This window comes from Homo sapiens, chromosome 8, assembly GCF_000001405.40.
Source record: "Homo sapiens chromosome 8, GRCh38.p14 Primary Assembly".
Taxonomy (NCBI): domain Eukaryota; kingdom Metazoa; phylum Chordata; class Mammalia; order Primates; family Hominidae; genus Homo; species Homo sapiens.
Window position 1 is genome coordinate 1,815,840 of NC_000008.11, and position 11,074 is coordinate 1,826,913.

General features: G+C 52.8%; 1 protein-coding gene and 1 non-coding gene across 15 annotated transcripts in view, besides 2 other annotated features; both read left to right on the forward strand.

Annotated features, from left to right (window-relative positions):
- Positions 23-691: an enhancer, noted in NCBI's record as "H3K4me1 hESC enhancer chr8:1764028-1764696 (GRCh37/hg19 assembly coordinates)". NCBI's record gives its function as "activates a minimal SCP1, AML or CMV promoter by ChIP-STARR-seq in primed H9 embryonic stem cells {active_cell/tissue: H9 hESC(primed)}" and the evidence as "EXISTENCE:reporter gene assay evidence [ECO:0000049][PMID:30033119]".
- Positions 692-1,359: an enhancer, noted in NCBI's record as "H3K27ac-H3K4me1 hESC enhancer chr8:1764697-1765364 (GRCh37/hg19 assembly coordinates)". NCBI's record gives its function as "activates a minimal SCP1, AML or CMV promoter by ChIP-STARR-seq in primed H9 embryonic stem cells {active_cell/tissue: H9 hESC(primed)}" and the evidence as "EXISTENCE:reporter gene assay evidence [ECO:0000049][PMID:30033119]".
- Positions 1,392-1,468, forward strand: MIR596 (microRNA 596). Its single transcript, NR_030326.1, has one exon. It is a non-coding gene; the product is annotated as a microRNA 596 (primary transcript).
- ARHGEF10 (Rho guanine nucleotide exchange factor 10) overlaps positions 7,490-11,074 on the forward strand; it is a 135,313-nt gene continuing 131,728 nt past the window's right edge. For 6 of the 14 annotated variants that reach the window (NM_001438091.1, NM_001308152.2, NM_001438094.1 and 3 more), the window contains exon 1: positions 8,087-8,274. Coding sequence is in view for 1 of the 14 variants with exons in the window: in XM_017014003.2 (XP_016869492.1) it covers positions 10,272-10,296 (25 nt within the window). In the remaining 13 variants the exon portion in view is untranslated. Of the gene's footprint in view, positions 7,648-8,086; positions 8,275-10,207; positions 10,297-11,074 lie in introns of those variants that run through there. The other 8 variants (XM_047422450.1, XM_047422454.1, XM_047422456.1 and 5 more) reach the window with 6 other exon arrangements.

The window sequence follows — 11,074 nt, forward strand, 5'->3', positions numbered from 1 at the left end:
GAAAGAAAGAAAGAAAGAAAGAAAGAAAGAAAGAAAGAAAGAAAGAAAGAAAGAAGGGAGGGAGGGAGGGAGGGAGGGAGGGAGGGAGGGAGGAAGGAAGGAAAGAAAGAAAAGAAAGGAAGCATGGGGGAGGTGCCAGGCTCTTTTTAGCATCCAGCTTTCACAGAACTAATACAGCAAGAAGTCACTCACAGCCCCTCCATTAATCTATTCACGAGGGACCCACCCCCATAACGCAGACACTTCCAACCAGGAGGCACCTCCAACACGGGATACAATTTCAACATGAGATTTGGAGCGGACACACATGCAGGCCATGGCGGCGTTCTAACGAGATGGGGTGCAGCGTTCTAACCAGACGGGGTGCAGCGTTCTAACGAGACGGGGTGCAGCGTTCTAACGAGACGGGGTGCAGCGTTCTAACCAGATGGGGTGCAGCGTTCTAACGAGATGGGGTGCAGCGTTCTAACCAGATGGGGTGCAGCGTTCTAACGAGATGGGGTGCAGCGTTCTAACGAGATGGGGTGCAGCGTTCTAACCAGATGGGGTGCAGCGTTCTAACGAGATGGGGTGCAGCGTTCTAACCAGATGGGGTGCAGCGTTCTAACGAGACGGGGTGCAGCTTTCTAACGAAATGGGGTGCAGCGTTCTAACGAGACGGGGTGCAGCGTTCTAACGAGACGGGTGCAGCGTTCTAACGAGATGGGGTGCAGCGTTCTAACGAGACGGGGTGCAGCGTTCTAACGAGACGGGGTGCAGCGTTCTAACGAGACGGGGTGCAGCGTTCTAACGAGATGGGGTGCAGCGTTCTAACGAGACGGGGTGCAGCGTCCGTTTGGGAAGGCGGAAGAAGCCTGTGAGGTCCAAGAGGGCGGATGGAGAAAGTTCCCCAGCAGGAACTCCCCGCTAGGGAAGCTTTAGAATTTGCCCGGGAGAGCGGGGGGGTGCTGCGGTGGTCAGTGTGGAGCATTTGACCGGTGGAGGCCCGGGATGCACCGTCCTGCCGCCCACGCACTCGCGGCAGAGCCCAGGGCGGCCTGCGCAGCTTGCATAGGGCCCACGGGACGCCGCCCACGGGGAAAGCCGTCTGTAACCATCCGAGCCTAGATACTCCCTGTTTACCTGCAGACACACCCACCGCACGGCCCAGGAATACGGCCACTGCGGAAGTCAAGAGGAGACTGCTGCGTTCCCTTTGAAACAGCCCAGGGCGGCTCATCAAGGCTGCAGAAAACATTACAGCCCCACAGGCAGGGCTGCTCCGGCCTTCGTTTAGCAGCTTGATTGAGGCGTCATTGGCACACGGCGAACTGCGCGTCATTAACGTGGGCGGTTCAGTGAGTTCTGAGGAACGCATAGCAGGTGGATCCGTCGCCACAGTCGGGAAAGCGAGCACGGCCTCTCCGAAGCCTGCCCGGCTCCTCGGGAACCTGCCTCCCGCATGGCAGCTGCTGCCCTTCGGAGGCCGACCCGACCCATCCCTGGGTGCTGTCTAGGTCACTGTCCTTGTGTGTTTTTGTTTTACTTTAGAACTCTTATAAAGACACAAACCGATGAGTAGAGACAAACTCACACTAGGAAATGGACTGGGTGTGGTTTGCAAAGCGGGGAGCGCGGTCTGTGTCCGGAACCCTCTGAGCTCAGGCAGCGTCCTGGGCTGTTTCCTGGGGCAGCGGCCACAGCCGTCCTATCTGCAGAGCATCCTGCTTTCCTGGAGGGCATCTGCGATGGCCCCCAGGCTGTACTGTTCCCTGTAAGTCCCGAGCCCCCTGTGGGGACAGGCGCTGGGAGGGGTGTGGCCTGCTGGGGGCTCTCGGATGTGTTGCCCCAGGGAGCCCGGCCGGGTGATGCCTCGGGGTGACTGGGGACGGCAGGAGGGAGGGGAAGGCAGGGCGCGGAGCAGTGAGGTCGGCAGCTTCTTCCCAGCGCTCGTCGACACTCCAGCCTCTTCAGCCACGTCTGGGGTTGCGTGAGCCCAGACAGAACTCATGGCTCGAGGCTGGGAGGCTGAGAGGCCTGAAGGGGGCCTCTGATTTCCATGTACCCCCTGCACCCCATGTTCGTGTGGCCTCCGCACTTGCCCAGGGCCTCTGCCGTGTGACAGCCCCACCCCAGCCCCACGCTGCCCCAGGGTCTCCCTGGAGCGCCGTCTGTCCTCTGCCAGGCTGTACCTGGGTCCCGTGACTGAGCGGCACTGGGTGGAGACTCACTTCCTGGCTCTTCTCCCATCGCAGCACCTGAGCAGCCCCGTGACTGCGGCCTGAGGTCTGCCCCACGTGCGCTGTGGGCCAGGCAGAGCGCCAGGTGCACCCAGGATGCCTTCATCTTCACCGCCGCTCCAGAGCCAGGGACTGGTGACTAACCCTGTATCCACGAGATAGCAGGCTCAGTACGGTCAGGGACTTGTCTGAGGTCTCACATCCAGGGTTGTTCGCCGTCCCCGGGCTCAGTGTCTCGCTCCCCGCCTGCGGAGTGGAGTAGTTCTGAGATGTGTGCATGCCATCTCCCTTTCAATGGCGCCATCCTACAAGTGGCCTCAGCCAAGGTTCAGCCAGTAGGAGGCAGACCTGGAGAGATTTAGAGCCTGGATCCGGCACCACGATGGGGGCCTGGGAGCGAGGTCCAGGCAGGCAGGCCGTGGGAAGGGCAGGCTGGACCTGGGGCAGAGCTGAAGCTACCGCCCACAGCGGAATTTCTTCTCTGGAAAGCCTTTCCAGTGCTGAATCGGGCCCACCCGGATTGTCTAACATAGTCTTCCTCATTTAAAGTCCACTGTGATGGGTCTTTTGCACACCAACAGAACACCTCCACAGCCACATCTGGACCCATGTTGAATGAATTACCGGGGACTGTCACCTGGTCAAGGTGACATATAAAACTGACCCGCACAGTAGGTGCGAATGTCTTTCCAATTCTTTGCAGGAAACTGAGGCACAGCAATGCAGATAGCACAGCTGGTAAGGGAAGTGCCTGGGATGTGAACCCAGGAACTGTGCCCAGGAGTGGATACAAGCTTCCATCTTCGGACAGTGCCTCAGGCTCCCCCGAGATGTCCATGGGGTCAGGTGCCCTGACACCGGTCTCTGCACATGAAAGTGTTGAGTCTTCATGCTGCCTAAGTAGGTTTTGCTCTTGTTTTCAGTGAGGAGACTGAGGCCCAGGACATTGAATGACGCCCATGTTCATCCATATAGTGGTAAAAGAGGCAGAAGCCCCCGGGCCTATTTGATGATAGAGCCCAGGCCTTTAGGCCCTGCTAGAGCTGACCTCACGCACCCGCTCCGCGTGGGGCATGGAGACGTCTCTGGAGTAGAGGCGAGGCCTAGAACCAGGCAGGCTGTCTTTGCCATTTTTTTCCTTTCTGAATGTCCTAACTAGGGTATAGATTATCCCTACCCTCTGCATGGGCCTTGCACTTAATTTGCTTGCAATTAATTAAGGGATATTTTGTATTCCGTCAATAAAGGGAATCATTATTTTTTTAAAGGAACCCAGCTTTTAAAACCCCTTTTTGCTGATACATAACTTAATTTGTTCCTGCTACTGTAACAAAACACCAGAGACTGGGTCATTTATAGACAACAGGAGTTTATTTCTCACAGTTCTGGACGTGGGGAAGTCCAAGATCAACGTGCCAACAGGTTCAGTGTCTGGGGAGAGCCTGGTCTCTGCTCACAAGACAGCACCTTGAGCACTGTGCCCTCACTGGTAGGAGGGGTGAACAGCCCCCTGGCACTTCTACAAGGGCACTAAGCCCATCCCTCATGACCCACTAACCTCCTCAAGGCCCCACCTCTTACTGCTATCACGTTGGTGATGAACTTTCAGTCATCAAGGGGGATGCATTGAGGCCACTGTATATATCCCATGAAGTAGCTTACTCTTGTGTTCGGCTTGATTCTATTTACAAAGTGAACACACCCATGTGTCTGCAAATCAAATCAAGATGTAGTCACCGTTTTCATCACTCCCCAGAATTCCTTTGTCTTTTCTGAGACAATACCCCCAAAAATAACCACTGTTCTGATTCCTATTATTATAGGTTGGTTTGGCACATTCTTGAATTTCATAAAAATTGAATCATACTATATGTGCCCTTTTGTCTATGTTTTTCATGTTTTCAAGATTCATTGTTATTGAACATATCAGTTTCTTCCTTTTTATTACTGTATTATTAGTATTCTATTATTCTATGAAGATACAATACTTTATGAGTTCACCTGTTGATGGAATTTGGGTTGTTTCCAGTTGCGAAGTATTTGAACTGTTTTGAAGAAAGAATTCTTGTAAAAATCATTTTTTTTTTTTGAGACAGGGTCTTGCTCTGTCCACCCAGGCTAGAGTGCAGTGGTGGTGAACATGACTCATTACAGCCTTGACCTCCCAGCCTCAAGCGATCCTCCCACTTCAGCTTCCTAAGTAGCTGGGACTGGAGGTGGAGACTATCATGCTAGACTCCTGGGCTCAAGCAATCCTCCACCTTGGCCTCCTAAAGTGCTGGGGTTACAGGTGGGAGTCACCATGTCTGGCTGTAAAAGTCTTTTAAGGGACTTATGTTTTCACTTGCCTTGGGCAAACCTAAAAGTGGGATTGCTGAGAAATGGGCAAACAATTAATCAGAGTGGTTGCGCCATTTGCACTCTCATCGCCTTGTATAGTGGTTCCAGGGGCTCCACATTTTTACCCTTGCCATGTCGGTCTGCAGTTTCAGCCGTGCTTGGATGACGGTGGTGGCATCTCATTGTGAGTTTACTTTGGGTAACACTGAGCACTATTTCCTGTTCTTGTTGGCTATCAGTACATCTTTGGTGAAGTATTTACGTCTTTTGTTTATTTTTAAATAGACTTGTTATTGTTATTTACAGGCTTGTTATTGTTATATTGTTTTGTCCCTTTTGAAATAGACTTGTCTTGTTATTGTTCATTTGCAGGAGTTCTCTATTTACCAGGACTATGGTTTGAACGCGTTTTCCCCAAAGTTTATGTGTTGGAAACTTGACCCCCAATGCAGCAGTGTTGGAAGGTGCCTACTAGGTGGTGTCTGGGTCATGGGGGTATGACCCTCATGGATGGATAAATGCCATGACTGAGGCGGTGGGCTCCTTATAAAAGAATGAGTTTGGGTGAAACCTCGTCTCTACTAAAAATACAAAAATTAGCTGGGTGTGGTGGCACATACCTGTAATCCCAGCTACTCGGGAGGCTGAGGCAGAATAGCTTGAACCAGGGAGTCGGAGGTTGCAGTGAGCAGAGATCGCACCACTGCACTCCAGCCTGATGACAGAGCAAGACTCCGTCTCAAAAAAAAAAAAAAAAAAGATAAGTTTGGCCCATTTTGCATCCTCCCTCCCCACCTCCGCCTCCCACCTTCCGTCATGGGATGATGCAGCCCGAAGGTTCTTGCCAGATGTGGCTCCTTGATCTTGAACTTCCCAGCCTCCAGAACTGTGAGAAATAAATTTCTTTTCATTGTAAATCACCCATTCCCAGGTATTCTGTTACAGCAGCACAACGTGGATTAAGACAAGCCATTTGTGGGATATATGCATTGCCCCTGTGTTCTCCCAGTCTGTGGCTTGCCTTTTCATTTTCTTAATGATGTCATGAGATGAGTAGAAATATTAAATTTTGATAAGCCATTTAATCATTTTTAAATGGTCGGTCCATTTTCTGTCTTACCTGAAGATCCGTAAGATCTTTTCTTATATTTTATCCTAGCAACTTTATAATTTTTACACTTAAGTCTATGATCCATCTGAAATTCCTAAATTCTATTTTAATCCTAATAGTTTATTTGTAGATAATTTTGTTTTTTAACATATATAATCATATTGACTGTAAATAATCAGTTTTTCCTCCCTCAATCCTTACACTTTTTGTTTTTATGACCTACAACACTTGTTAGATGCTGCAGGACAATGCTGAATAGACTACGGAGAGTCAAAGATTTTCATACACCCTTATCAGTACAAGTAGATAAAAAGTACAAGTAGATAAAAAGTACAAGTAGATAAAAAAATCAGTAACAAATATGACCTAATTGACATCTGTAGAACTTTATGTCAGTGAAAGCATGTTCTCAGCAAGTGCTCATAGAACATTTACCAAAATAGACAATGTTGGGCCATGAAGCAAGTGTTTGAAAATCTTAAACGACAAAAATAAAACAGCTGATGTTTTAAGGCCCGGTGGAATTAAACTTTAGTTACAATAAAAAGAAAACCAGAAAGTCCCCATATATTTGAAAGGTGAACCTAACTTTTCTAAATATCCCATGGGTCAAAGAGGGAATCACAATGGAAAATCCCAACTCTTCCATATCCGGGCTTACGAAAATAGGGATGTATCTGTGAGGAACGCCTGAATAAAGCAGACAGACAGGATCTATTGGAGCTCCAAATCAGGGGATTTTCTGCCCAACCTGCCTGGAAGGCATTGCTCTGTGGCCCTACTCAGTGGTGTCCCTGGCGGCCCTGAGTTTAGGGGCTCAATTTCATCCATTGAGAAAATGAGTTGTTTATTCCATACACAGGACTATTTCCTCTTATCTCTACCTTTTTAGAAAACACTACAAGTATCAGGATTTTCTCATCGTATTTAGGTAAACAAGAACTAATTTAGTTGACCTTCTTACTTCTGTTGATCAAGACCATTGATCTGACCATTGATCTGTGCAGAAGATCTCTGAATAAGGTACCCAGAGAACCCTAGGAATAGAAACCTGAAATAAGTTTTCTAATCTTAAGGTCGCTGAGAGCAAATACCTTTTTCAATTGATTCATAAAAACAACTCAGTCTGATTTCATAAAATTAGCAAGTGTGAATAATAAACATTGAAAAAATATCACCTTACCTACGATTATTTTTTCCAGCCATTGTAGTCTTTCTATGTTGGCTATGATTTTTACATAGTCCAAAATTTTCAGGGAAATAACTTATTCCAGAGCACACAAGCCTTAAGGGCAGTTAATGTTTAGATTAATTTCGTGATACTTAGCATCCCAAATAGCTGTTTGTATTTCTTCTATAAAACAAGTGAAAGGGGCTAGAAATCTCTAAGAAGTCTGACAGTTCTAAAACACTGACTTAAAATTACTTCTATGATTCGGAGATTTGGGTAGGAGAAGGCATAGAAATAAATCTAGCATCTGCGAACACACTTGTTAAATGTGCTGACCAGGTAAAAGATAACATCCTTTAGTTATTTTGGTTAAAAATGTCTTTGTTTCTCGTTTTTTTTTTTCTTTAATAGTAATTATAACGATAATCTGTTTCCTTTTTAAAAGTATAAGACAAATAAATGCTCAAAGTAAACAATTCCAATAACTCAGAAGGGGCCATTCCCTGGAAAGGTCCCGGGAAAAACGAGCGCTTCCTGGCAAGAAGCAAGCTTCAAAAACTGCCTCGGAAACGTGGCTGAAGTCATCGCATTTCCAAACGCCCAAGCCTTGGCTGGTCCAGGGCAGCTGGCGCGGAAGACCCGGAACGCCCTGTGGGCAGGGCCAGCTGCGGACGGAGGGACGGGGGCTCAAGGGCGGGTCGGGTGGGGTCCCGACGCCCCCTCCTCGGCTGGGCGCACCCCGGGTGTCCGCAGGGAGGGGCGATGTTCTGGGGGGGGGAGCGTCTGCCCGACGCCCCCTCCCTCAGGTGAGCTCAGCCCGTGGGGGTCCGCAGAAAGGGCGGTGCTCTGGGAGAGGGTTAGGGTCTGCCCGGCGCACCCTCCCCAAGGGGCGCAGCTCTGAGCCGGGAGCAGGCTCTGCGGGGAGGATCCAGATGTTGGGGGCGGGGAGGGCACTCGGTCTGCCCAGCGACCCCTCCCGAAGTGAGCGCGGCCCGGGGTCCGCGGGGCAGGAGATGATCCGGGGGCGGGAGCCTCTGCCGCGCGCCCCCTCCCACGCGTGCGCAGCCTGGGCCGGGCGTTGGGCAGCGGGAGGGGGCGCGGGCGGCCACGTGGCCTCGAAGGAATGCGCGGGCGCGAGGGCAGGGCGCTGCCGAGAAACCGGCAGGCTCTGCGGCCAATGGGCGCCCGGAACGGTCTGGGCCCGCCAATGACAGCATGGTGGGTGGAGCAGGCCGTCCGGGCGGGAGGGGCTGGGCGCATCCCTGTAGCCGGCGGGCGCGCGATCCGGGACGGACGGGGTCGCGGGGGACGCGGGGGACGCGGGGGACGGCGGGGAACGGCGGGGGACGGCGGGGAACAGCGGGGGACGGCGGGGAACAGCGGGGGACGGCGGGGAACAGCAGGGGACTGCGGGTCGCGTCCTGGCCGCCGAGGTGAGTGCGGGCCCCGCGGACCGTGGGTCCCCTCGCGGGCTTCTGGTTTCCTTTGAGAGTTGCACTTCTGCCCGGCTCCCCCGAAATCGCTGGGTCCCACCCGGAGGTGGCTGCGCCCCCGACCCCCTGCGCAGATGTTTCAGGGAAGGGGCTGAGACCCCCTCCCCCCGAGCAGCTCCCCCTTCCGCGGCGCCCCCGGCCCCTCAGGATAACGGCGCGGGCCTGGGCGGGGGGAGCAGGGACTGGCAGCAGGGACCCCTGGCCCCAGGGGCAGGAGCGAACTCCGATCGGCGGAAGGAGCCCGAGGGGCGAGCTGGCTTCGCCTGGGGGGTCGTGCAGTAACTTAGATTTTCCGGTAAAGGAGAAGAATGCGGTCCGCCTCAGGATGCAGAGAAGGACCGGTGTAAGGAAAGCCGGCGTCTTTCCCCCGCACCCTACCTGTCCCCCTACCCCACCAGTTCCCCGCACCCCGTGTACCCCGCCTGTCCCTCAGCACCCCCTGTTCACTCTGCACTCCACCAGTTCCCCGCACCCCAGCTGTCCCCCCGCACCCCACCTGTTTACCCTGCACCCCAGCTGTCCCCCGCGCCGCAGCTGTCCCCCCCACACCCCACCTATTCCCCCGCACCCCGCCTGTCCCCCCGCACCCTACCTGTTTATTCTGCACCCCACCTGTCCCCTCGCACCCCACCTGTTCCCCCTGCACCCCACCTGTCTTCCCCACACCCCACCTGTTTACTCTGCACCCCAGCTGTCCCCCCACACCCCACCAGTTCCCCGCACCCCGTGTACCCCGCCTGTCCCTCAGCACCCCATGTTAACTCTGCACTCCACCAGTTCCCCGCACCCCACCTGTCCCCTCGCACCCCACCTGTCCTCCCCACACCCCACCTGTTTACTCTGCACCCCAGCTGTCCCCCCACACCCCACCTGTTCACCCGCACTCCACCTGTCCCCCCGCACTCCACCTGTCCCCCCGCACCCCACCTGTCCCCCCTGCACCTCACCTGTCCCCCCGCACCCCACCTGTCCCCCCGCACCCCACCTGTCCCCCCGCACTCCACCTGTCCCCCCGCACCCCACCTGTCCCCCCGCACCCCACCTGTCCCCCCGCACCCCACCTGTCCCCCGCACCCCACCTGTTCACCTGCACCCCACCTGTCCCCCCGCACCCCACCTGTCTCCCCGTACCCCACCTGTTCCCCCGCACCCCACCTGTCCTCGCACCCCACCTCTCTCCCTGAACCCCACCTGTCCCCTGCACCTCAACTGTCCTGCACCCCACCTGTCCCCCTGATCCCCACCTGTCCTCTGCACCTCACCTGTCCCCCTACACCTCACCTGTTTACCCTGCACCCCAGCTGTCCCTCGCACCCCAGCTGTCCCCCCCGTACTCCACCTGTTCCCCTGCACCCCACAGCCCGCTGGTGCCCAAGAAGCCAAGGTAGATTCTGAGGAAACTGCCCTAGGTCCACAGACGCCCTGCCCACCTGTCCCAGCCCCACTCCCCTTCCATGGGCCCCTGGGCACTGAAGGTGAGGTCTGAGTACCCCTCCCGACTGTGGCCAGTAGGTCATGTTCCCAGGCAGCAGTAGACGAACTTGCTGTTGTCTGATATTGATTCCAGTCACTAACTTTGGCTGCAAGTAAAAATTCTCATTGACTCAAGATGTAACGGGTTTTAATTCTTTTCTCTGGTTAACCATAACCTGAGTACGGACTGGTCAGTATTCTAGATTCTGTGCAGGAGTGACTTAATGTCCATATGGGTGGAATGCTGCAAGGAGGAACAATTTCACTGTTGCTGATTAATAATATGTTTTGAACACCTGCTTTATAGAAAATAATTTTTATTCGAAAAGAGAGATGATTACTGAGGTTTACACGTCATGTATTTTTAAAAACACACTTTGTCCCTGTCTGTCTCTCACAGCATTTATTTGCTGGCTTTAGCAGCCAACATCGGCAGTTACGGATGCATAACTCTTTATAGACAGATGAGACCTCCAGGATTTCTCAGCAGTAAGAAAAGTCATTTGTATAAGGTGCTATTTGTAATTCATTAGTTGTAGACAGTTGGGGGTGAAGTGAAGTTAAAAGTTATTCAGAATAGCTTTTTATGTTTTTAAAAGTTGATGCTTGACTTCCAGATGTAACCACATTTGTCTTCTGGGTGCTTTGGTGTGCTGCCTTTCCTCTGCAGTTTGTGTGTGCATACGTGTGCGTGTGTCTTTGTGTATGTGTTTGTGTTTGTATGCATGTGTGTGCGTTTGTGTGTGCGTGTGTTTGTGTGTGTGCTGTGTGTGTGTGCGCTTTGTGTGTGTGTGTGTGCGCGTGTGTGAGTTGTAGATAGAGGCGTTGGGTGGTGTGGAGGGTGTGGAGTTACAGACCTGGGTTGAGGTGGGGAAGCTTTTCCCTGGCCCTGTGAGTCCAGACTTCTCACGGGACTTGAGGGTGCTCACTTACGAAGTTGCTAGAAGGCGTTGTATGGGGAAGTGCTGCTTAAAACAAAGATGTTTGGCATAAATTAGAGCAAACTGGAAATGCGCTAATGACGGTTGTATTCTGTAAGCGATGTGAAAACGTCATAGTGAGATGTAAGAAAGCGCTGTTGTAGGCCCGTCATTGTTTACTGCACAGTGTGTGGCAGGAAGCATGCAAAGAACAGCTCGGATCTGGAGATGCTCAGAGAATCTGTGTTTCATGCGTGCGTTGCTTATAGTTTGCCTGGGTAGAAAGGTAAGTGGCGTGAAATAAGACAGAAGGGAAGCGTAGCTGTTAGTCATTCATGAGGGAGAAC